The sequence below is a fragment of the Homo sapiens genome, chromosome 11 (genome assembly GCF_000001405.40).
Source record: "Homo sapiens chromosome 11, GRCh38.p14 Primary Assembly".
NCBI lineage: Eukaryota > Metazoa > Chordata > Mammalia > Primates > Hominidae > Homo > Homo sapiens.
In genome coordinates this window covers 105,609,482-105,637,236 of record NC_000011.10, presented here as the reverse complement: position 1 = coordinate 105,637,236, position 27,755 = coordinate 105,609,482, and the positions used below count along the sequence as shown (strand labels likewise).

Here is a 27,755-nt window from a genome sequence, read left to right as displayed (position 1 = left end):
ATAATTATGTATTTCCACTTCCAATGTTAAGGATAACAAAGCTTCTAATCATACCTCATATCATTAAAATTATCTAGCTTCATAAAACTATTTTTAAATGGTTATTTTTTCCACAATAATGGAGAGCACAAAATATCTAAGTTAAACGGCATTTGGTAGAGTTTTAATCTTATAAACGTTCTAAATTCTTCTCTGTCCCCTACTTGAGATTTTAGATTAACAATATCACTAAAATCATTTTGTATTGCAACATGCTGAGGTAATTGTTCTGTTAAAACCAACTGAAAAGGCAGCAGATTGAATGATTATGTGGTAAAATTCAAACACATCAGACTGAGGGGAATGGGATGGTTTGATGGTAGCTACATACACTGCACTGATTCAGTTCTAGCCAAGTGCAGTTAGACCTGTGCATTTTTGCCTCTGTGGTTTATTTGAATTGGTTCGCTGTTGAGGGACACTGTCACTCCATGCCATCGTTTTATGATTTCCCTTTACAAACAGCTCATGGATTAAATAAGCATCCTTTTTTTCCAAAGCATATGTTAACAATGACCTTGTCACACCAGTGAGGAAGTATCACCATATGGCTGCATTAAATGAGGCTAGACTTTAGAAAATGGACTTCCAAAACCTGGGAACACAAGGGAAAAAGGGGAGAGGTGGTGGAAATCCTTTCTATTTTAGGCCTGGAATTGTAGAGATCACTTGGGTGATTATGTCTATGGAGAAAAGAAAATGATAAAAACATACAATGTTTTGATTTGGTATGTGTGTCAGGTAGGGTAAGGAAAGTAAAGGAGACTTTGAATAAAAAGTCACTCTGAACTTTAAAAGAGTCTGACCTTGAACAAAATGTAAAATGGCAAGATATTCTTGAGGGACAAAAATGAAAGTGATGGGAAATTATGAGAGAAGTATAGAATATTATACTATTCCCACTTTTGCAATTTTGATTCCCCATTGCCTTAAAATGTACATTTCATGAACAATACCTGTCTTTAATAAACATGAAAATGTTATACTATTAGACATCCAATTTGAAAAATCATCTAATAAGAACTGAACTGATGAAAAGCAAGAAGGTACTTGTCTTTTACTCTTTTTGTATTGGAAGCTCCTTATTTTGTATTCCAAATCTGTTTCATGCTCATGGATTATAAATACACTAGATAACTAAAAGCAAGTGTTTTGAGTTCTTCCAGCACACATGCATGGAAACAGAATTGGGAGGCAATGCTGCCTCTGAGTTCATATGAAATATTCAGCTCTCTAGGTTTTCTGGCAGCATTCCTTATCAGTGCTACAGAGATTATCTTCTATAAGTTCCTATTTCTAAACGACATTGAGTACCTTATTTTTATTTCAGAATAAGATTTATAGAAAACAGTTAAAATATATGAGGTTAGGATTTACTGTGATACTTAAATTCTAAGTGAAAATGTGTTCATATTGCTCAATATTCAAGGCCAAAGTCTGTCCTTAATTACTAACACAATTTCCAGTGCACTGATGATGAGGGTCACTGAAAGGGACTGTTTGGTTGGGATGCTCAGAGGTGGAAGCTCCGCATGGACTGAGGCCACAGCTCGGGCAGGCGGGCAGGAGCAGCCTCTTCTCATGCCTCTAGTTATTTGAAATGGCATGAATCCAGGACAAGACTCACCCCTGTGAGTCCCACAGAAATTTAAAAATGTCCTTCGGAGTATTTCCCTTTATCAAAAGTGTAATTTCTACATTCCTATTTCAATTTTATTTGGCCACTTCTCCTCAAGTAAAACCAATGAAAAATATAATATATATTCTTATGCTTGGCAGTTACTATGGAGCTACCATTTATCAGCACTAAGACAGATCTTTACACTGTCTTTCTTCTTCTAATCCTGACTTTTTTCTTCCAAGTCACAAATTATATATTTAAGCTAAAGTTTCCTAGTATGCTTGTAATTCAAATACTGACATTTTATTTTACTCTTAGGCAGTTAATTTCCTACAGAGAGGTTAATTTCCCCAGTACCATTTTGTATTCCAAGGAAAATTAAAGATAATTTAAAGTCTCTAATATTATTATTTTAGAGGAGAATATTTAAATATAAGACTACTATATTTTATTGCAAATATTTAGGAAAGAAAAGTTGTAGTTTTAACTGTCAATACACTTACCAGAAACACTGTGTATCACCGAATTTATTAGTGCCTCGTTTTGGAAACACTGTGAAGTACTATACATGTGTGAAATGTTATCATCATAGTTACATAGACAAAGGTATCCATAATCCTCAAACACCGCTCCCAAATTACACACCCTAAAATCATTTCATAAAATATTGGTGCAAGCTCTACAGAATGTGTACTTTTTAGAATGGATTTTCTAAAGCTTTTCTGACATTCACCTAAACCTAGAATATAACTGACAATGTTTTATTTTCAAAATCATGCAGCAAACCCAGAAAATAATACAGGCAACTTAGGAAATTTGGGGACTGTTAGAATCTGAAGATTTGAAAATGGCCAACTCTTAAGCATGGGTTTAGTTAAATAGGTAAAAATCATATAATTTGTAAACAGAGACTTGGGTTACAGTCTGATTTCTGGTCGAGGGTCCTTTGGCAAGTAGTAAAGTATTCATAGGAATAGCTTGGTATATGCAGCAGATACTATGTTAAGCACTTTAGAAGCAAGTTTTTCTTTTTCTTTTTCTTTCTTTTCTTTCTTTCTTTCTTCTTTCTTTCTTTCTTTCTTTCTTTCTTTCTTTCTTTCTTTCTTTCCCTTTCTTTCTTTCTTTCTCCTTCCTTCCTTTCTCCTCCCTTCCTTTCTCCTTCCTTCCTTTCTCCTTCCTTCCTTCCTTCTTTCCTTCTTTCTTCTTCTTTTTTTTTTTTTTTTGGAGACGGAGACTCTCTCTGTCATCCAGGCTGGAGTGCAAAGGCAATAGCACAGTCCTGGCTCACTACAACCTCCACCTCCCAGGTTCAAGTGATTCTCCTGCCTCAGCCTCCCCAGTAGCTGGGACTACAAGTGCGTGCCACCACATGCTGCTAATTTTTGTATTTTTAGTAGAGTCGGGGTTTCACCATGTTGCCCAGGCTTGTCCTGAACTCCTGACCTCGTGATCTGCCCACCTCGGCCTCCCAAAGTGCTGGGATTACAGGCATGAGCCACCATGCCTGGCCACAAGCAAATTTTTCAAAAGCTTACAGCAGCCCTTTTGGTTACTACTATTGTCTCTGTTTTGCAGATCAGGAAACTGAGACTTAGGAAGATTGAGTAACCCGCCTAATGTCTTGGTATCTGGGAAGTGGAAGAAACTGTTTTTAACATAAGTGCACTAAGCACCAGGTTAGTTCTAAAAGTCTCAGTTTCCAAGTCATTTCTAGTTCTTTCTCAGCATCGTTTTGAGGCTCCATTAGGATAGGCTAATGGAAAAGTTTTGTAAATAGTAAACTGGTTGTCATTTATGTGATTTCAGAGAGTCTCTTCCAGGTCTGTGATTCTGATATTGTTATTTAACTAAGTCTGAAATACAGGTCTTAAGAATGTAGAATTTGTGTTTCTGTGGTTCTAGAGATTCCTAAACTTGCCTTCAGTTATTCTAATGAGTTACATCTATAGACTCTTTGATAAAAAAGCATGGTCATGGAAGATAAGTTTGTTTTTCTTTAATAGTCTCTAAACTCCAGTGCAATTACACTTGATCTGCAGATTCACAGCTTGAATAATAATGCACATTTGCATTCAGAAATATTTACTAAGGGTTTAGTACAATTTTTACTAAGGGTTTACAACAAATATACTGTGCTATGAACTATATTCAGGGGATATAAAGGAAAAATAGATATAGACTCTGCCCTCAAGAAGCTCATAGTCTATTGAACAGATTGTAAATTGACATTTCAAAATTAGTTTCTTTGAATTTGACAAAAAATAAATATGTAGAAATATGTATAAATCTTCTAAGAAATGCCAACATTGTCAGCTGTGAAACACATGCACATTAAAAATGAATCTTTTGAATTTAAGTTCATTTTCAAACAGAAATCCATATAATGGCATAATAAATTCATCTTTTCAAATGGCACTAATTCATTGAGTCGTTAGTGAGCACCTATAGAAGTTACCTTTCTTGTAACAGAAAATAAAACATAACACACTATGATACACTTGACAGCTAACTCAGTCAGCTCCAAAACAAACTCATAATATTGCTTTAGGACCTTTTATTTCATATGTATTTCCTGGTGAACAGCACCATCTTCCCAAGTTACAATTCTCAAGACCCCTTTTCTCTCACCTCCATCAGCCATTGAAATGTGCATTTTATTTTGTATACATGAGGCTTGGCTCAGGGAATGATACAAATTATTATTTCTGTGTTTACTGTGGTTATATTAATGCTTAGAGGTCCATGCCTAAACACTTTTAACACTTTCTACAAAATTTTTTCTTTCTTTTTAATTATTTATTATTTTGGAGAAACGGGGTCCCGCTGTGTTGCCCAGACTGGTCTTGAACTCTTGGCCTCAAGTGTTCTGCCTGCCTCAGCTTCCCAAAGCACTAGGATTATAGTCAGCCACAATGCTTGGCCCCTAAGCACTGTATATGATGTATTTTAATGCACATTGCTTTAGATATTTCTAGTAAAATCAAGGCAAGTTGTCATTCCCATTAATTTATAACTTAGACTCTGAAACTCAAAGAGGATGATTAATTTGTCAACAATTCACATAGCTAATGAACAGCAAAGCTGGGTGCTGAATCCAGGCCTTGCTGCAGAGGCTATGCTCTTCTACACCAGAGAGCCAATTTTGGAAGAATGGAAGTGTTTCTACAAATGAAAAAAATGGGGACAGACATTAAAGCAGTGCTATGGTCTTTGAAACTGGGAAAGTGGAAGTGTAAACAGACATATTTGGAGTAGAGGTTCTTATGTGGAGATGAGATGGGGTGTCAGCTAAAACTTTAGACTGAAGAGAACCCAAAACAGTAAGAAATTATAAGAGATGAGAGAGGAGTAAGACTTTAATTCAGTCCATTTCACTTTCTTGTGTCTATCCTCTTTATTCTCTAAATTGATACTGCATACCCATGACAGAATTACGGTTCTTGAATTATCAATCCCCTGTCCAAACCATCCCTGTTATCAAATTCAAACTTTTATTTTATTTGCTTCTAAAGTCCTGAATTTATAATTAGGCTTTTGCCCTCCTGTTTTCCCTCCCTCCAACACTATTCATTCATATCCAATGAGATGCTTTCCTGTGCCACCTCATCCCTTTTTGTAGCTTAGGGTTTTTTATTTGCTCTCTTCAACACTCTTTTATACCCCTCCTTGACCTCCTCATTCATTCAAGATTAAACTCCACTTTATTAAGTCTTATTTTTATAAAATCTGGCCCCTCCTAATAGTATTTCTTTGGCAATTATGATACAATGCACAACACCTTCTGATTTAACACATACTTATCACCTTATTCATAACAAGTTGCTTCTGTCTTTCCAGCATATAATAAGCTTTGTAAGGCCCAGTATCAAGTCTGACTTTTTTTTCAATAAAGTGTGTGGCACAGCAAAGAAAGCAAGACAGTTGCCAAGTGAACACTCAGTTAATTAAAGTTACAACTGAACACTAAAGAAGCTGCATATTAACAGGGGCAAATAACTTGGTAGCAAACACACACAGATGCATAAGGAATATAGAATATAGAAGTGATAAATAGTTTGTTATCTATGAGACAATATGAGTGGTTCAGATTCACAGTTGTTGAGTCTAATCTGGGGCTGCCAAAGGATTTTGTTTTATTTAATTGCTCATTTCTCTCCATATAAATTCTGACATCTAAGTATATCGGTCCAATTTTACTTCATTAATCAAATTAGTCTGGGTAATGGACAGTCTTTTTCTTTCTTCTGTTATCTTAAGCTATCCTCTGGCTCATGAAAAGAGAGAACATCTTTTAAAGTACATTATAGATACATGCACTAGCCCCAGCGGGGCTGGCTGCCTCCTTCCCAATATAATCACAGCTTTTTTCACATTGCACTGAGATTTTCGGTGGTCTTCACTAGACTGTGAGCTACTTAGGAGCAAAGAGACCTATGTCCTTAGAGTGAAATCTTACTTTAGACACAGAAAAATTGTCTTTGGGTAAAAGTGAGAGGATTTTAGTAAGTCTAGATACTTTGTAATAAACAAGGTGGGGAGTAGAAGTGAGAAAGAATCTTTGGGGTTTAGACGAGAATTTTAAATAAAGAGCTGTGATGTCCCTGTTCATGGACAGGCATCCTAGCATAATTCAAGTGAAATTATCCACATGAGACATAAGAACTCAGAGGGAGGATGGAGGACAGCTTGTATGACTGTCCCTTTCACTTGAAGACTCTCATTATAGGACTCTTTGATTCTAAATCTTGAAAGCAGTGTGTTTGAATGAGTAATGATCTTTATGATCCTTCACCAGTCACCTACTCAGATGGAGAAGTCCATAAAAAACTGTTTTCCATTTTTAATTAATTTTTAAAATTTTTTTAAAAAAAATTATTAATCATTTTTTTCATTAATGCCTTACTTGGGTACTCAAAAATTGATTTAAAACACTAATATATAACCATAAATCCTTAAATCCCTTCATTTTCATATCTACATATTTAGTTGGTGTTTTGTTTTTTTTGTTTTTTCCTAGAAGGAGTCTTGCTTGTCTCTCAGGCTGGGATGCAGCGGCGTGATCTCAGCTCACTGCAACCTTGGCCTCCCAGGTTCAAGCGATTCTCCTGTCTCAGCCTCCAGAGTAGCTGGGATTACAGGCACATGCCACCACGCCTGGCTAATTTTTGTATTTGTAGTAGAGACGGGGTCTCACCATGTCAGTCAGGCTGGTCTTGAACTCCTGGCCTCATGATCCACCCACCTTGGCCTCCCAAAGTGCTGGGATTACAGGCATGAGCCACTGTGCCTGGCCTAGTGGGTGTTAATTTAATGCTATTATAAGCCAGGCATTGAGCCATGAGTCAAGCACTAGGAATTTACTCACAAATACAATAGCATTCCAGTCATTCAATGTGGGGAGTGCAAATAAATAATAATATCACGTAGTAGGGTAAGTCCAAGGTGCCTTGAGATCATAGCAAAGTGGAGCCTAAATCAATCTGGGGTGGTCAGAAAAAACTACCTAAAGAAAGTGACCAGATGGCCAAGAGCCACCAGCTCACTCATGCAGCTACTGTCTTTTATACAGAATTGAAAATAAGATATGGTTGCTAAGTTACAGGTTTCAATTGACGATGACAAATGCTTGTAATCACAAATTTTCTTGGCTTTTTTAATGAGCTATAGTAAGCAAATGTAATGATGATAATTTTAGTTCATTAAAGCTTATTTTCATTTTAAATTAATGGAAGTATGTAACCAAAGAGATCAAACATGGCAATTACCAAGTGGGCAAGATATTTAGACAACAAACGCTGATAAAGACTAAAATGCCAAAAGATTCCCTTAGTTTATCTGTTCCTTTGGACACAGCAAGACAAATTCAACATTTTGTAACAAAATCACCACATTTTCTTTTATTTAGATATTATGAATCAAGAAAAGTGTTAATATATGCTTTTTGTAAACATGTAAAAATTTAGAACAGTGTACGTTAAAAATGGAAATTCTGCATTATAACACAAAAGAAAAATAATCACTATCAACATTTGAGTATAGTCTTTTTCAGTCTCTTTTATATATTATTGTTCTTTTGAAATTGCAATCAAAAGAGAACCTATCTTTTTCCCTCACCATTATCTTACATATTTCCCATATGTTAAAAATCTCTAAATCATGAGTTTAGTAGCCATATAATAATATTTATCATTTAGCTATTCTGCCTAATAGCCCATTGCCTGCAGTCTAATAATTTTGAAAATCTAGAGTATTACTATCACTAAATGGAAATGGAAAATGTCTCTATTTATTTATTTATTTATTTATTTATTTATTTATTTATTTATTTTTAGTTTATTTTCTTAGAGACAGTGTCTTACTTTGTCACCCAGCCTGGAGTACAATCATAGCTCACTGCAGCCTTCAACTCCTGGGCTCAAGGGATCCTGCTGCCTCAGCCTCCTGAGTAGCTGGGACTATATAGCAGTGGCAGCCACGCTAATTTTTTTTTTTTTTTTTGGTGGAGAAGTGGTTTCACACCATCTTGCCCAGACTGGCCCTTTAAAATATGATACGATATAATTTTTGCACATTGATTTTGTATCCTGAGACTTTGCTGAAGTTCCTTATCAGCTTGAAGAGATTTTGGGCTGAGATGATGGCGTTTTCTAAATATAAAGAGGTTAAGACATTGCTTTTTTGAAAATAAAATACTATTTTAGCAACAATGTCCTCTCAATAAAAATATTGAAACTTGTTTTCTAATCTGTGATTTTATCAATTCTGTTAAATGAGGATTATTTTCACAGTGACTTTGTTTTTATAACATACAATCATTAGCAAATTTTGTGAAATAAAGAATAAAATGCTAAAGGCATGTGCATTATTCTGTTCTCACACTGCTATAAAGAACTGCCCAAGACTGAGTAATTTACAAAGGAAAGAGGTTTAATTGACTACAGTTTCACATGGCTGGGGAGACACAGGAAACTTACAATCATGGTGGAAGAGGAAGCAAACACGTTCTTCTTCATATGAAGACAGGAAAGAGAAGTGCCGAGCAAAGAGAGAAATCCCCTTATAAAACCATCAGATCTCAGGAGAACTCACTTACTATCATACTCCCATGATTCAACTCCAACGTCCGGGTCTCTCCAACGACACATGGGGATTATAGGAAATACAATTCAAGATGAGATGTGGGTGGGGACACAGCCAAACCGTATCAGCATGTATATATTATATATGTACATGAAAGATCTGATATATGATGCATAACAAATATAGTGATTTATAAAGTTATTCTGAACTCTATATGTGTTTGCTGTATTTTCATTTTTAAGAAATAAATTTGCAAATAATGGTGGGCAAAGGTATGCACATGAAAGTTCATAAATCATTATTTTGAGGAGAAGGAATAACCATATCTTGCAAACTATTTATGTTACTATCTCACTGTATTTTTCCCTTTGGCAGGCTCTGTGTGTGTGTGTGTGTGTTTGTGTGTGTGTACACATACACACATATATATGATGGTAATTGTACTAATTATTATTTTAATCTTGCAATTGTTCAACTCATTTTTTAACAAGTTTTTATTACTCTGTAATATGTGATTGAGTGGCAAGTCACGGTTGTAGTACAGATTCTTATTTGTGCCAACTAAATTAAATAATTAACCTCTATCAAGAATAACTTTAAAAAGGCGGCGGATGCTTGATATTTAATCAGTAGTAGACTATATAGTGTTCTATCGGCATCTATATTAATCTGTAGGGAGATTTTATTGCCTCTATGCATATTATAGAAGGTGCTTAAGTTTTGTTTACTTTCCTCCCACCAAATGCCAGCTCTTTTCCAACCTGTTTATTATAACCGACTTGGTTTGCAGTTCGGAAGATACATGGTTGCAATGATAAGCTAAGTATTTGTTGCTAGAACTAACAGTTCTTGCTGAAAAACAGTGAGCAGAATTACATACCAAAATGGGTCTTACAAACAGCAACTGAAGTAACAAAATAACATTCCTTGTCTAGGAAACGGCTTCTTAGTGTATTTGATATGGGAAAGGAACCACATTTTGCTATATACATGAATGATGAACCGTGCTATTAGAAGTCTTTTTAACACACAAACATAATTATGTTATAGACTGCTTAAAATAATTCTTGCTGTCTTCTGTGGAAGAATATGGCATAACATCCTTATCCTATCCTCCAGGGCAGTTTACAAGGCCCCTCCCTGCCTCGCAGTGCTGTCCAGTCCCTCTCCCAACCCCTCCACTCCACCACCTACCTGCCATCCCCCCTACCCCTACTCTATTCTCCAGATGCATTATCGTTCTCCAATGTCATCCATACACCTTACACTTTTTCCTGTAATGCTGTTCTCTCTACCTGAAATATTTTTCTTTCTCTTTAGAGTATAGCAGAATCTCATGCGTCTTTCAAAGACTAAGCAGATTGTCACATAATTTCTGAATTTCCCCCCAACACCTATGAGAGGTGAAGAAAAGGAAATACAAAACATTGGGGTAAAATGAACAGCAGTGTTTTCCTGTATCATTCATTTACTAGAATTTCCAAATATCTGCACAAGACAAACAATGCACCTATCTTTACCTGGACATTAGCCAGGACTGGTGTGGAATATCTATGCTCCTCTAAATAACTCGTGCTTTAAAAAATTACTCAACTAGCTCTATGAGCTCCATAAATCAGTATTACATTTTGAGGACATCTTTTTTTGCATCTGACTAGAACATCCTTCTACCATGACCCTGCCCCTTCTGTAAGAAAATAAAACAAAATAATAAAAATAAAAGCATATAAAGAGTCTACATAAAAAATTCCTGAATCTAGAACTGTTGGCACAAGTCAGATGGAGAACTCTCATGATCAACAGACTTCCTTAAGCAGCTTGGCTGCATGTTAATTAGTTTAACCATTCCCCAACTAAATATTGCTAGGTAATGCTTTAATGAAATGTTCGTGTTTAGAGGTTTTCCTACATTCATGGGGTCAAATGATTCACAATTTCAATGGCTTTTGATAAATTGTTACAAATTGATTTTCAAAGGCTTTGTATCAATTTTAAATGTCCCAGATATCTTGAGTGACTTAACATTCTCTTCATCTGTACCACCAAAATTAGCTAATTTATTATGTAAAATTGTGTATCTCAATTTGATTTTCTCTGACTATTAAGGTTAAATATACTTTATAGTTTGTTTACTGGGCTTATTTATTTATTCCAATGTGAATTTTCTGTTGTATATCTTTTGTCATTTCTTTTCAATCTGAATGCAGGGTGTATGTGTGTGTGTATGTGTGTATGTGTGCTCTCCTTTATCCAATGTAGTTGCACTGAAATATTTCTGCAAGATTTCACGGCCCTTATGTTTGTTTTACTTTAAAAAATGTACCAGTGTAGTGAAATGGCAACTGTTGTGGACAATATGGAGAAATTTGATCAAATTAATTATTTTTAAAAGAATCCACATGTAACTGCCCACACGGACCTAAAATGTATTGATTCATATCCTGGCATCATCCCACATCTATCCTATACCACAACCTTTTCTGCATTTTAATCAGCAATATGGATAATAATATAGTAAAGAGTCCCACAGAATTTAAAAATAGTTTATAGCTAGCTGAATTAAGATTGAGGACGGTCTAGATGTTTCCAAACAAATTAAAATTTAAGAGTGAACATAAGAAATATTTCTAACTGTGAATTTTTAAAAATGTTCTATGGAGAGGTTAATTTGTAGCAATTTGTGTGGAAAAAAGAGCAGAGTGTGAGCATAGACTTAACAGGAACCAATATAATGATGTAACTGAATAATTAAGACCCACATAATCTTGGACAACTCTTTATACGTACAATGCCTAAATAATTGGAAGTAATATTCCCATCCAGACAGAACAGGTCAGGCCATAATCATGAGTGTCAGGAATGTGGAGTTTAATTCTATACTGATCGTAACAGGGGTGTATTGTGTGAGTTAATTTAAGTTATTATATTTTAACAAAATTTCAATAAGTCCAGGGGACATCCAGAATGCCAAAATTTGGATGTTAAAGGTTTTAGAAACTATGTTATGTAAAGAAATGTTACTTAGCTTGGGAAATCACTAAAAGGATGTGTGATACCTGTTTTTAAAAAATGTGACGAGTGTGAGTCATAAGAAAATTAACCAGATTTGTTTTGTGTTATTCAATTCTGGCTAAGAATTTGTTGTTATAGATATCCAATCAAGAAACAGTTTCTCTCTCTTTCTCCCCTACTTCCTCCAACAAACAGTCTGCAAACATATGAGTACAGAACATTAATGTTCCAGACACTGTAATAGGCCTTCATGATAGAGTCTTTAGTACGGTATCATCCTCGTTGTCACGGAAGTCACAGTCTAACAGTGTTGACAGGTTATCTATCTATCTGTCTATATATGTCTGTCTGCCTCTCTCTCTGTCTATCTTCCAAGGCATATACAAGATACAGAGACTACCAAAAAGGAAATTTGATTATTTAAGCAAAATCTGACCAACATCTGTGTTGAATGGGATATCACACATTTTTAAATTTATAATCACAGTATCTCTGTGCTACTTTCCAAAAATAATGTGCATAGTCTAAAAGTATATATATTCTATATGTAATACTTGTATGCATATATTATACATATACATTTATAATATGATTTTAGAAAAATCAAAGATGTAAAACCAATGAAAATTGTTTAAAATGAGGAGTAATGTTATTACTAAATAGTAAATTTGGAAATGAGCTTCCTAGTTGTCAGAGAAAAGAAAGTAACATTTTGACTTAACAGACTTCCCATTAAGAAAGCAGGAGACGTGCATGTTTTTGGGGAGGAAAAAAGGGATCACTTTGTATTGATGTTAAATTTTTGGAACAAAAAGTGATGAATTCCCTTTCAAACTTGCCTAGGTAAGACTGTATACATAGTTAAAGATTAAGTAATTAACCAAGGATAACCTAATTTCAAATAAGGAGGGAATAAAGGGTTATGGAAACTAACAAATTGCTCATGAGATTTACCATAGAAGGTGCAATGTAGATGATCAAGAACTGAAAGGAATAACATTATACATTTGACTCTAACCTTCTCTTTCCAAGAGCTTCCTAGTTCCAAGAAGTACTGAGGAAGCAGCCAATGTCTGAACAGATGGGATTCTCCTGAGTGTGCTTGCTAGTTCACCTGGGCTTCCCAAAAGGGCTTTCTCCTACTTTGAAAGTGGTTTGTATCAGCATTTTGAATTTCTTTTGTCAGCAGACACTAAATGTTATATGCACCTAGAATTTATCTTCTACCAGATTTAAATTTATCAAAATGCAATCTGATCAGCACAATGTACGTCAATTAGCATTAACAGTCCTAACTTCTTTCTTCTAGGATATATTTTCTTTATACTCAGCTCATATGTTAAATTAAATTTAATGGAAACAAATGAGAAAAAATGTTTATGATAAACAAAATATGTAATATTTATTTTGGATCTACTATCCCATTGTCTTCATATTCTTTACTTGATTTTTCGATAATATAACACAGGAAAAGTGTTAGCTATTTGAAGGATGCCCCAAAGATGAATGAAGAGAAAACTCACCATGTATTTCTCATTCATTTATTCAAGGATATTTACCGATTCCTATTTTGCATCAACCATTGTGAGAGGTTATGAGGACAGGACGTTTAAAAAGTCAGACACAGCCCTGAAAGTTTTTATTCTAGTGGGGAATATGGATGATAAATAGGTAAACAAATATTTGGAAATAATAGTTACAGATTGTGATAAAAAAAAGATGATCATTAGGTTGGCAATGTGATATAGAGTGATTGGTGTTTTGGTGTGGGATAAATTTGGCTACAGAGGTTAGCCAGCAAAGTTTTCTGAGAAGGTGACATTTAACCTGAGTCTTAAAAGTTCAGAAAACTCTAGTTAGGCAAATAACTGTATTGGAGGAGTCCAATAAAAGGGAATGGCAGGTACAAGGGCATAGACGAAAGAAGACCAGAGTGGACCCCAGAATGGTGAACAAGACAAAGAAGCAGGCAAGAGTCAGTTCATGCAGGGCCATGGTAAAGAGTTGGAATTTTATTCTAAAGCAATGAAAAGTCATTGGAGGGTTCTAGGTACAAAAGAAACAGTCTCTGATTTATAAATTCAGAAGGGTACCCCCGGCTCAAATATGTTAAGTAGATGGAGAAAGGTAAAAAGCAGAAGCAGGAAATTAATTATGAAATTATTAAAGTAGTGCCAATTGGGAATGCAAATTAGCACAACTTTCAGTCTGAGAACTAAAAATAGTACTACCCTTTGATCCAGCAATCCCACTACTGGGTATCTATACACAGGAAAATAAATCATTATCAAGGTACCTGCACTTGTATGTTTATCACAGAGCTATTCACAACAGCAACATCATTGAATCAATCTAAGTGTCCATCACTGGAGGACTGGATAAGGAAAATATGGTATATATATATATATATATATATATATATATATATATACAATGGAATACTACTTGGCCATAAAAAAGAATGAAATTGTGTTGTTTTCAGCAACACAGATGGAACTAGAGGCCATTATTTTAAGTGAAACAAGTCAGACACAGAAAAATCAAATATTACATGTGCTTATTTATAAGTGGGAGCTAAGCAATGTGTACTCATGGACAACTGAGTTTGGACTAATAGACATTGTAGACTCTGAATAATGGGGGGGTTAGAGGAGGGTGGATGATGATAAATTACTTAATGAGTGCAATGCACGTTATTCAGGTAAAGCATACTCTAAATGCCCTGACTTCATCACTACACAATCTATACATGTAACAAAATTGCATTTCTACCTCATAAATTTATATAAGTAAAAAAATTAAAATAAAACCATTGATTTGGACAAGGAGGGTGAAATAGAGATGGAGAAAGTGAAAATGTGATGTACTTTGGAGGTAGAGGCATGGGGATTTGGTCAGGTGGTGAGTGACAATCAGAAGAAAGAAAAAAAAAGGAAATAATAGAAGAAGCAAGACTATCAGAAAGGGGTAAATAAGTGAAGAACGACAAATAGGAGAACTTCAGAAGATAAACAGCAGAATTTCTGTCCAAGCTCAAATTCAGTCAAAAAAGAGCATCAGTTTTGCACAAATGTAGCAGTTCAAAGCACTTTTAAAAGAGCAGCTTATGCAAATAAATAACACAAGAAAACCTCACAAAGATCAGTTTCTAATGTAAGAAAATAAATTCCAGAAGAGTTAGTGTTACAAATATAAAATTAAAAATTATAAAAATGCTAGAAAAAATGTAGAATAATATTTCTATAGTTGTAAGGCTAGGAATGCCTTTTTTATGCTAACACAACACCCTGAAGCCATAAAGAAAATGAGTCACAAGTTTGACTAAACAAAAATTTTAAATGTTTGTGTGGCCAAAGACATCATCAATGAATCTGGAAGCCAAAGGGAAAGTGGAAAAATAATTTGCAACGTATATGACAAAGGGTTAATTTCTATAGTATGTAAAACACTCTCACAACCGAGAAAGAAAACATTTGTAAAGGAAAAAAACAGAGAAAGAAGTACACAGATCTGATAAATAAAATTGTCTTAAGCCTCTCAATTAACCAAAAATGTGTAAATTAAAGCAGCAATGAGAAATCATCCTCACCCTTCAGGACAAGTAAAGATTCAAAAAACTGATAATCGTCACTGTTGGCAAGTCATAGAAAAAAATTATTCTCACATGCTGGTTGTTGTAAATTTAAATAAATTTTGAAAATATATGATAATATTCATTAAAAGCATAAATCTTAATTATTTGATATAGCAATTTTACCTCCAGGAACTGATCTTGCAGGAATAGTCACTCAGGTACAAGAAGTTTTACTGTTGTTTAGTTTGTAATATCAAAGACCTGGAAATAATCTAAATATTGATCCCGAGGAGATTGAATACATTAATCATAGAAACTTCATGCAATGGCATGTTATGCAGCAGTATAAGAAAATGAAGCAGTTCTTAAATACCAAAAGAATACCTTTTATGATTAACAGAAATAAACCATTAATAAGATATAGCTATAAAATATTATCTTATTAAATACTTTTATTTCTAGATACATATTAGAAGCTTATGTTTAGAGTAATATCTGTTTCTCTAGGTCTATACAGAAAAAAAAAAAGTCTGGAAAGATCCCTAGCAAACTGTTTAGTCTGATTAGCTCCAAGTGTTGTGATTAAGGAATATTCTAACTTTTTAAGATTTCTGAAGTATTTGAAATTTTTACAAGTATGTGTGAGTTTTAAGATAAAAATATAAAAAATGGGAAAATCACAGGGCATAATATATTTAAAGTCTGCTCATTTTGGAATAAACATATCAGCAACAAAAATAAGCAAATAGTGATTATAGCTTATAGTATAATTTCTGCTATTTCTGGAAAAACAGTGGCTTATTGAAAGAAGGAATACATCTCAAATATTTTTTATCTTTTATTTCTAACATAACATTAAACTTTTTATTGACAATATCAACAGTTTTCTTAAGTCGGAGGCACCTGATGATGCTCTAAAAATGAGCAATTTTGAGATAGCATGGTGTTCTTTAGGACAGTCATCACCCTATTTATTTGAAATCCAAAAATATGACCCCCCCCAAAAAATGGAAAGAAAATACTTGATAGCTCAGTAAATATTTAAATGAAGCATTCTGGAAAATAGTTTTGAATATCTGCAGTTATCCTGAAATCAAATAATTTTTCTATAAAAATATGTAGACTGGCCAACTAATGAAGCATCCAACACTGTTTACATAACAGTTAAAAGAGTCATTTAGTCGTTTTTACACTTGGTTGTGTTTATGACATGAATTTGGCAATATAAAGTAATGGGAGTGTTACAGTTTTGGATTCTGAAATTTTTGTGCTGCGTTACAAACCACATAGAAAAATCAATATGTCCATATTTGTTGGGGTAAGTAAAAGTTGTGACAGAGGTAACTTTAAGAAAAACATCTTGAAATCAGAATTAAAGGTTAACCGGCGACAGTCACACTGAATGTTGGGTATTTTGTCAATACTGTATTGATCAAGATGCTGTGGTATGAATGGCAGGCAAATCCTGTATTGGCTAAGAAAACTGACTTTAAATTCAGATGCCCTGGATACTTTGAGGTCTTAGACAAATTTTCTAAGCTATGCAAATCTTCAGGTTCTTCACCTATAAAATAATAATAATGCCTACTTCTGAGTTTTGTAAAAATTGAGATCACAAAATCTGGCACACAGTACTCCATTATAGTAGTTATTATTATTACAAGAGGAGGAATGAGTTTCAAAGAACAAGGAGTTGTCAGCAATGTCAAATCCTGCAAACTATTCTGAGAAAACGAGGCATAAGAAATAACAATTGGATTTACTAATTTGTAAGTCACTGATGACCTTCAAGAACACAGTGTTCCAGGAGTGGTGATGGTAGGGAAAAGTAAATGGTGATGAAAATAGAAAGAGCTGATGTAGAATATGTAACACTTTGGATAGTAAGAGAATAAATAAAAATTATAGGATGACAATGCGAGAGGCAGAGGACAAAGCCAAGGGGTTTTCCAGCTTAGACACACTGATTATTTTCTATGTTAAGGAAGAAGGTAGTAGAGATGGATTTCATTAAAAAAAATTCCTGGTTAGTTTCAAGGCTAAAATCTATTCTGCTTCTAAAATGATGAAGATAGGGAATGAAGAGCTGTTTGTTCATCTAATTTATGTGTGGCTCCTTTAGGGCTGAAGTACTGGGCCTTTTTTGTGACTGGAACTCATTGAGAAGCTGTTCAAAAGTTTGATTGTGTCTCTGTAAACACACACACACTGTGCACAAGTACACACAATTTTGCATAAAATTAGGAGAATTCATTGACCTCCTTTAATCTATCAGTGAAACAATCCTCTCTCTGAATGGCCCAAAGATCTTAGATAAATTTACCCTCTCTTAAGACTTAAAAATAATTTTGACAAATATGGCTTTAGACTTCTGTACGTGATTTAAAATTAACAATTCAGTGAGAAGTCAAAAAATTTTCTACGAAATATCAAAAAATCTATTTAAAATGCCTTTTAAAAATATAAATTTAAAATATAAATAACTTGAAATATTAAAATTGGCTCAGACATACAATTTCCATATGACACAGAAAATGAAATGCAGATATAATAACTGATTTTTAACTACATGTGGAATATTTTCCAAATTATTTTCTAATATTCATAAAATTTATGTGTGATATATGTGATTTATCTGTGTTAACAGACTAGGAAATCGAGACTCAGAAGTGTTACGTAACTTGCCCACTATCAGGCTGCCAATTCAAACTCATCTGGCTCAAAACTCCAGAGGAGATTATCTCTCCATATCTCTAAGTGAAAGAAGAACATTCTAGGCCAATATATCCAAAAACCTATGTATTAGAATCTCTATGGGGTTGCTTTTTTTTTTTCTGGTCATATACAAAAGAACATTCTGAAAAGAAAAGGAAAAACCTATGTTGAAGATATTACAGTTATCCTTGCAATTCTTTCTTTAAACTCTGCAGTTGTCAACGAGGTTGAACACTGTTTACTTGACAGGTTCCCTATCTTTTGGCTTCTATGAAATTACTCTTGCCTCATTTTCCTCTGAATTCTGTGACCCCTTCTCCTCAGCTTTCTTTGTTTTACCTGTTTCCTCTCTCTTCCCCTCAAACATTGGTTCTTCCTAGGGTTTGACTTTCAGCACTCTTGGCACTGCTTCTGCTCTCTCTGGGTGATCTCATTCACTTCCAAGTCTCCAAGGCTCACTGATCATCTGTCTTCAGCTCAGACTGAACCCAAAAGCTCCAGACACACATGTCCAAATCTCTATTGCACAGCCCCCTTTGGATGTATTTTTAACACCTCAAAATCAGTAAGTCCATTGTATAGTCACCCTCCCCACTCAGATCTGCTCCTTCTGTGTGTTGCTTCTTTACTCACTATCTAAACATTTGCCCAAGCCAGAAGGCTGAAAAAACATCTTTTATTTTTACCACACTTCCCCTGCACCCTCCCACACAGACATCCAACCAATCACTAAGTTCCATCAAAAATTCTGCGTTGGATCTATGTGCTTTTCTCTCTCCTCCATGCTTCCACTTTTAACTCAGCAGCCATCATTGTAAATCGTATTACTTTAAGACTCAGTCAACTGGTCTTTTGTACCTATTTTGTCCTCTTCCAATTGATTCTCCCTTTTGCAACCTAGCCTGTTCTTTATAAAACATAAGTTTGCTAATGTCATTATTGTGTTCCAATCATTTATGGGTCCCTCTTTGTATTCAGAAGAGTGTCCTGACCATAGCTACATAACCTCTGAGATCTACAAAGTCTCACCCCTTAGCACAACTCCCCTCCTCACATTCAATACTATTACCAGACTAATCCATGTTCAATGGCTCAAAGACACTTGGCTGTCCCACAACTTGGTGTCTCCTCGTGCACTACTCCTTTGACGAGGCATGCTCTCCTTCCTTGTTCTTTTTCAAATGACTCGACTAGATCTTAACACCCAGATCAGGCAATATCATCCTTAGGATGCCATGCCAAGTTTGATGTAATTATCCTTCCCATTTCCGTGTCCATCTCTCTCCTAGCAATGTTTCTCTGTCATAGCACTTTACCACATTGTACTGTAATCATTACCGTAATCACTGACTTGTCTCTCTTTCCCACTGGGCTATCAGCTCCTTAAGGTCAGCAACTACTCTTATAAGTTTTTGTGTTGCCAGCTGCTAGCATAATGTCTTGAATAGAGTTGCTCTTGATAAACATGTTTGATGAGTAAATGGATAATTCATTATCTTATCTAATGAATGAATGAATGGCTTCATTACATAATATGACTTCAGCCTTTGCTGTATCATTCACTGTCATATGATTCATGAATAAGTTGCCCAGAACTGTCTTGCCCTGTTTTCTTCAAAATTTTGCAATTAAATTAGAGAAATGATAAATGGCAATTCCTTTTTCTTTCTTAATTCAGGCAGGCTCAATATAGATGTTATCTTTTTCACACCCTTATGGCCTTCCGGTAAAAGCACTAGGATAGTAGGTATAAGAATTAGTTCAAGCTCTGGCTTTGTAGTCTATTACTAGATAGTCTTTGGAAGAAAGTAAAGTAACTCCTTTGTACCGAAGCTGTCTTATCTAGAACATAATTACTTTCTTTTTAGACTGTCTCACTGTAAGATTAGCTTGAGGTTAAATAAAATCATATATATATATGAAAAGATATATAAATATATATACACACACACATATATAGTTTTAAAAAATATATGGTTGTCATAAAGTGTAAGGTGTATTATTATTTATCCTTCATTTTAAAATCCAGAATAATAATATTGCTCTAATAAGATTTTATATATATAATCATATGTATATATATATATTTCCCAATGCCAGGATGTAAAATATTTCCTCCTTGAAAAATAACACTTTCCAGATTGAAAAAAAATTAGGAGTTTTTTTGACAGCTTTATGAAAGCTTAATCCTACGACAACTCTAAAATACATCAAATATATACAAATTATGCATCATCCTATCACTTAAGAAAGAGAAAAACTATAAGAATATGACTCATATCTTTCTCAATCTCAGGATGAAAAATTAAGGTAAGAGAGAAAAAATATAAAACTAAAGAATTATCTGAAATCAACTTAGAAGCTTGCTACCAATTCAAAATAAGAAAAGCTAATGAGAGTCACAGTTGAGTCACATCACTCATTTTCCTAAATATAGGCAAAAGTCAAATAGTATTTAATTCTAGTATTTCTTTACTAACAACTTTGCAAGTCAAATCATCAGAATTTTATCTTTAGCATGTTTAAGATTATTATATTAGTCCAGTGTAAACTCTTAGAATGCCTTTTTAGGGCTTCATGATCCTGGAAAAGAAAACGTGCAAAAATATTTAAACATAGTTGAATTAAACAAAAAAATATTATATTATTTAGTACACTTAAATTCAGTGAGTTTTTATTAAGTACCTACTTTATAAGTGGAAAATCCTGCAGAGCCTACTAGGTTTAGTGTCATATTTTCAATGTATTTAAATTAACTAAACAACTCTATTTTACGTATACTTTTACAAGTACTTTGTAAAGTACTGCTCATTTTGGATACTTAGAGTCCACAAATAAATCAGCCACACAGAATTAATATTTAACTTAAAAAAGAAACTTTTTCATCATTACTAGGGCATAATATTGATTCTATTTGTGATTTTTACAGCTTTTCAATCCATTATCTTGTAAACAATTGAATAAAATGATTCTAGCTAGAAAAAGAGAACAAGATAAAAAAATCACTTTAAAATAAGAAAAATATTAATCAATTAGTCCTTTCTATCAAAGTTTAAAAAGTTTTAAACAGTCTATAAAATTCTATTATTATTTCACCAAGACGATAATACATGAGTACTTGATCCATTCTATTAGTACTTCTTATTGCCATCTGAGATTTAAATGACTCATTTCAGAATCTGAATATTTATGGATTATATTGGACAGGGACTGCCTTTTTAAAGGGCTGATTCTTTTACAGGATTTCTAATGTAGCTGAATTAAACTAACAATCAAAATGACTAAAATATATTTATCTTTTGCAAAATTTGGAGATGGACTAATTTAGTATTTTTGTTATTACTCTTGGTCAAACTGAACATATCTCATCCTCCAAATCAAAATATCTCTATCCATTAACTATTGAAAAAATATGAGAAAACAGCCAGCTTTTGGGTTATCTCAAATGTTTTGTGATGGACATATCCAATTAAACTAGCATTTTTGTTTGCAAAGATAACTATTCTGTTATCTACCTGTGATACAACAATATGACATTTTAATTAAAGAAAGTTGCCTATATTAAATTTATTTTTTAAATGTCCATTCCGTCATACTTCATATTTTGGATACCTCACAAAAAAATGTATACTTGTAATTACATTTTGAAATTTGACTACAAGGGCTATTACACTCACTTTTTTTGTTATTGTAATAGGTCATAATTTTGTATTATCTGTATTTCATATAATTTTAGTTTAATATTCATCAAAGTGTGACTTTCCAACAATAGAATGGTTGGAATAAACTATAAGCCAAAATTGTTCCTTCCTCAGGAATGTGGGATTTATACCAAAAATTATAAGTTTAAGTTAATCAGGTTTAGACTTATGAGCATGTAAACTCTATACACAGAATAGTTTATGTTACCATAGTATTCTTAGAGCACTAATTTAGTTTTGAGGCAGATGAACCAGCATTAAATAAGCTGTACCCTAGATAACTAACACGCTTTATTCTTTGTGTTTTTTTTGAGTATACATTCCACAAAATAATTAAACATATACTGTTTAATGGCCCTTATTCACAGACAGATCAGATCCTCCAGTTTTACAAGGAGCCACTGTAGAAAAATCATGACTAAAATAAACTTAACCAGCCACATATTATGTCTTTATATTTAATCTAACATGACAAATTTAAAAATCCAGTCCGTATCATGGTGAGGAATAAGTTTCATGTTAATTATCTAGAATATTAAATTTCAAGACCTATTTTTACCCTTTTGTACTCAAAGGCATAGAGCTTGATAAATGAGGTTGCCTTATATTTACTGCTTACGTTTTACCTTTAATTAGATTGGAAAATCACGAGTCTGTATGCTCTCGGTCAGTCCATTCAACAAACACCAATCACCTGACCCACACTCTTGACTATTGATTTTTTCCCAAATTCTGCTTAGATTTGCCTTAAGGATTTTCAGCATGCTCATTTGTCAAAATAACTTTCCTTTTCTCTGCTAGAAAATGTTCTCTCCTTATTTACAATTTGTTTTCTTAAAAAATTTTTAAACATACGCAAAATCAATTGTATGTGATTATAACAAATATTAGATCACTAATACTGTATTATTCTTGGATTCTAAATAAACAGACTTAAAGTTTACTCGTGTCAATTTTCTCAATCCTTATATGTTAAGGAATAACATACTCTACGTTTCATATTTTTTTCTACTTTTTAATTCTGTATGCAACTTGCTAATATTTATCATGTTTACAAGTACTTTACCAGTAACACTTTATTTCACATATATTTTTATTACATAAATAAAATAATACTAGTTACAGTTATCCCAAATGAGGTTAACAAACAAAAAGGAGGAAAAGAGGATTAGCCTCATATAGTTTACATTACTGGAAGTCACAATACAAACTTTAGAATATTTAAGATCTTACTTTGTAAAAATGAAACAAAATAAAACATATATCTGCCACTTGTAAGGAAATCTTTCAAAATTTAATAATAATAATTAATATGTTAAAATAATTACTATTGATAAAGTACCTTCACATGTATTTGGATCATAGATTATTTTTAAAAGTAGTAAGATTGACAGAATCTTAGGAGAGACATGAGAAAAATATTTAAATAAACAAATAATATTTACGTATTAAAAAGAATGCTTTCCTTAGAACTACTTAGAATGCTGACATCCCTTTTAAAACTTGGAACATAAAACTATTAACTGAGAAATTTTACAAAAAGGACTACCCACAAACCTTGTTCTAATTTATGTGCACTTCTGAATAAAAATAACACCCTTTTGCTTTAATGCAATATTGATTTTATCACCAAATATGTCAAGAGATTTTTAAAAATTAAGTAGTAACTCATAGAACCTATAGCCTTCCTGAAAAATAATATAATTATTCACTTTGCAAAAGTGACATATGCTTCAAGCTCCTCATGAAACTAAGTTCTAAAAAGAATTAACGGTTAAAGAGACACCAAAAATTAAGAAAATTTTATCATGTTATCTGCTATATGAATTAACAGCCAACACATACAAATTAAATAATTTAAGTTGATGAAACAGATGTCCTCCAGACAAATTTAAAAACTCTGTTTTCAATTTCACTTGTTTCTTTGTTCAGCACACTTTCTTGTACTGAAAGAATTTTAAATAAAAATGTTCCCAGCTTGATATGACAAAAAGGCTTTACAATTCAGCTTGAACATTTTATTAACTGTGAAAACATGCAAAATTGTATGTAGAAACTATTCCTACTTCTTAAATAATCTATAGTCATTATCTGAATTTATGAATTTAAAACAGTGGTAAATTAGCATATAAATGTGAGGAGGTATTTGAAACATGCACTTCCTTCCAGAAGGAAAAAGCAATACAACTGCTATTGACTGATCATGTTTCAATGTGTTTTAAACTAACATGCACAGTTGATTGTATTTTTTTTTTACATTAAGTTATACAGTGTCCTGGTGAGAGTGGGAGGAATTGTACAACTGCTTTCTTACGGCATTAGGTGAGGTCACCCGTTTAGTTTCATTGTGTGGAATAATAGATAAAGCTGGGTTGGTTGGTGAATTCAGGTGGATGGGAGCCTAATGTGATTTGGCATCGAGGTAAGGATTCATGGAGTTATATCCACAGGATATATGCATTATGTGATAGTAAGAGACATTTACACCCCAGAATATAAGGGCAGGGCAGCCTCAAGTGACATCACCAGATCATCTGCAGCGTCAACCAACCGACTCAAATATATATCCTCCACACCACCACTCCCCTCTTTTTCTCACTATTAGCAAGCCTTCCATAGTCTTCATGTTTCTTCTTTAAAAGCAAGACCTATGCTTACTCAAGTGAAAAGCAAATAAGAAAAACCAAAGGAAAAGAATAAAAAACTAGCTTGAGTACAATTTTCACTAAATTGACATTCGGATGATAGGAATAACACTAAAATGTTAAAGGAAAATTTAACTTGAATGATCTAGACAGATAATGAATAAAAGAGAAAGTCAGGAAGAAGCAAAGAGAGGGAGGAGAAGAAAGAAAAGAAAAATAAATTAAGGAAAAGAAAAAAAAAACAACTAAATATCCCTGAAACGAAGTCTTGTTTTTAACTCTGATTTGTCCTGAAACCAGGCAACTGTGGGAATCTTGAAATTCTTTCTAAAAAAATTAAATAACAAAGAGGAAGAGGACTCCATTGCTTGGTTTCAGTTCTCTTCTAATTTTTCATAGCTTATGTTTTACTTACAGGCGTTTGTTACAGCAAAACTGTTGGCTGTCTCAATGTTGTCCACATGAGGTACCAAATTAAAAGGAGCTTCCGACGCATTGGGGCTGGTGTTATGAAGAAAAATTGCTAATCGAAAAGCAGTGTATTCCTGATCTGTGTTTCGGATGAAGAGACCACCTATTAAAAACAGCAGGAAAAGCACATTCACTGTTTCCTCTTGTCAACATTATACCCACCCCAAGCACAGTCAAATCTACTGCCATTCACAAGCACATACAATTAAAGAGCTATACCTGCCACATCTAGGGAGACTGCCCTTTGTCCCTAAGGTGCATGCTTAGTATTTAGTCTTTAGAGCAGCTCAGCTTTTTCTTGTCCTAATGTGTCTTGCTCACAATGACCTCTGAGACCATTTAGTGAATGTTCCTTTCTCTCCCTTGCCCTCCCCCTGATTCCCAGCACACTGCTACATCAGCCACCTCAGGGCAGCTCTCTCTAAGATGCATGCAGATGAGCGGAAAAGAGATTTACATTAAAATACGGAAATGAAGGGATATAGTGCCACACAGGGAAGAGGGAAATCAGAAAGAAGAAATGAACTTTATTTTCCTCCAGCTCGTGGACTCAGCCTAATTAACTCCGTTTTATGCACAGTCCACGAGAAATGATGCAGTGTTGAGGCTGGGCTTAGCTGGAAGAAATTCAATAGCTGCGTCCCATTAAAAGACAGTAGAGGAGAATAGCAAGAAAAGCCAAGGATGGAGGGTGTCCCTGGAAACAGAGTCGAGGTAGAGAAATAAGGGCAAAAGCTTCAAGAAGAAAACAAAATAAAAGGGGAGAAGCTTCCAGGAAAGGGATCTAACTTTGGAATCTGCTAACTGGTAGCAAGAAACGGCAGGGCGTGCGGGTGGAAATGTCTTTTTCCTCAAACAGTGTCTTTCTGTAATAGCAAGAAAGCTGCGGCGTCCAGAATGGGAAGAAGTGGATTTTTTTTTTCTTTTTTAAACAAACTCGACATCACTTTATGCTTTAGAGAAAGGGATGGAAATAAATATCATATAAAATACAACCAAATTCCCCGAAGACTTTCCCCCAACTTATTTCAATCCTACTTAAGCGACTATAGGTAAAGGTGGAAATAGGGCTATGGGCTGAGAACGCATGGGTGGGCTGCCCTGGGTGTATTCCAACGGAACCTGCACTAAAGAGGAAGTCTTTTTGCAAAGGAGAGAAAGGAAGAGGAGGGAAACAGAGGGGAAGGGAACTGCTGAAGGTTTCCCTGAATTGCTTATCAGCAACTCATTTAACTCACTTTCGGATATCTGCTACAACCAGCCACATGCACACCCCATCGGAGCACACCTTACCTATTTGCACGCTGCTCGGAAAGGCTCCCATGGCGAGTCCCCAAAATCCAGAAAATAACAAGACAATCTGTCTGGAAATAATCCTCATCTTCTTTTCTCCTCTCCCTGGCGCGCGCTCTCTCTCTTTCTCTCGCACTCTTCCTAAAGGCTGTTCAGAGAAGCATTGAAGACGATGGCGCTAAAATTAAAATCAACCAAAAAAAAAAAAAAAAAAAGAAAAGAAAGAAAAGAAAGAAAAAAAAGGAAAGAGGTTTCGGTGGTTTAAGATTATGACTAGTTCTCCTTAGCAATCCATCGCGAGCCGCCAGATTTTTCCCGCAGTCTCCATAGCCCTGGGAGAGGTTTTCTGTCCGGCTGCAAATGTTGCACATGCAAAAGATGGTGGTGGAGCGTCTAGTGGCTGCTCGCAGGGATGAGACATGCGCTCTATCTTTGCCTCACTCGCACTCGCGCTCGCCCCTTGCTTTCTCACATACACACAAACACTGGCGCCGCGGCCGCCACACGCGCTCTCCAGCTCGCATCAGCCGACATCCCCCAGCAAGCCTGCACCAGCCCGGAGCATCGCTGCCCTCCTGGCGTCCCCTCCTCGAGCGCGCACTCCCTCCGCACGCCCCTCGCCCACCGCTCGGCTGGCTTCACCCCCTGGGTGCTCACCGGAGCGCCCCAGTCTCCCGGACGCTCCGGAGCCAGTCTGGTGTCAGGTTTTCCCTTCTGACCACTCGCTGACTCCCTCCTCTTTTCTTCCTCGGTTCGCAGAGGGACCGACTCTGGGGATGGGCACCCCCAGCGCCCCTCTCTTGGTTTTCCTGGCACCTCTGCTTCTCGGCTGCGCTAGGCAGAAAATCCGCCCACGGGCCAGGTCTGCAAGCCCCAATCGGGGGCTCCGGGGGGTTAGTACCTCCCCATGCCCCCAGGCCCCTGCCGCATCCTTGCAGGTTCGTGAGGAGGACGGGCTGCCTCCCTCTCCTACAGTCCTGGCTTCCCTCTCAGCCTAGCCCTCTTCTGCCACTGGGCTGCGCGCGGGGGACTCCGGTCCTCGCTGCAGCAAAGATTTCTCACCAGCAAACAGCCCGGGAATCTGGAGAGCCTGACAAGGGAATGGATGAGGTGAAAGGGTTCAGAGAGGGATGGGAGGAGAAAAGACAGGCAAAGGGCAGCCCCTGGCGGGTTTAAGAGGCCAGGACCAGGATGAAAGAATTGGAGGAGGTAAGGATGGGGAAGAGAGCCAGAGAAGTTGAAACATCCTGGGAAGGGGAGGAGGGGGTAAAAGGTTATTTTAAATAACTGACGAAGTTTAGGGTACTGAACGGGATGGGGAAAAGACTGAGAAATGAAAATTGAAAGAGGCCTCTAACATTCTCTTGGAAAGGCATGAAGCAGGGATAGGAATAAGAACTGCGTGAAGTGTAAAGTAGGAAAAGTGATTAAAGATTCGATTGCTTTCTATACAGTCACCCATTCCGGAGGACTCTTTCCTTCTGTGCTGTGGCCCATTGCAGGAGCAGGAGGGACACAGCGCAAAGGCTGATGAAGGACCAGAGGGGCAGTGCTTGGGGCAGTGGGCACAGGTGTCTGACAGGAAGATAGTGTTTCGTGCACAT

At 35.3% G+C, this 27,755-nt stretch overlaps 1 protein-coding gene across 26 annotated transcripts in view, besides 1 other annotated feature; it reads right to left on the bottom strand.

The window, feature by feature from the left end:
• Nucleotides 1-27,243, bottom strand: part of GRIA4 (glutamate ionotropic receptor AMPA type subunit 4) — a 372,097-nt gene extending 344,854 nt beyond the window's left edge. For 12 of the 26 annotated variants that reach the window (NR_046356.2, NM_001440391.1, NM_001440385.1 and 9 more), the window contains exons 1-2: nucleotides 26,152-26,531; nucleotides 24,803-24,961 (exon numbers count right to left, since the gene is read on the bottom strand). Coding sequence is in view for 25 of the 26 variants with exons in the window: in NM_001440391.1 (NP_001427320.1) it covers nucleotides 24,803-24,961; nucleotides 26,152-26,239 (247 nt within the window). In the remaining variant the exon portion in view is untranslated. Of the gene's footprint in view, nucleotides 1-24,802; nucleotides 24,962-26,151; nucleotides 26,532-26,808; nucleotides 27,165-27,213 lie in introns of those variants that run through there. The other 14 variants (NM_001077243.3, NM_001440382.1, NM_001440392.1 and 11 more) reach the window with 3 other exon arrangements.
• Nucleotides 25,988-26,188: a silencer, noted in NCBI's record as "peak1445 fragment used in MPRA reporter construct". NCBI's record gives its function as "represses an SCP1 promoter by STARR-seq MPRAs in K562 erythroleukemia cells {active_cell/tissue: K562}" and the evidence as "EXISTENCE:reporter gene assay evidence [ECO:0000049][PMID:32103011]".
• Nucleotides 27,244-27,755: the final 512 nt, after the last annotated feature.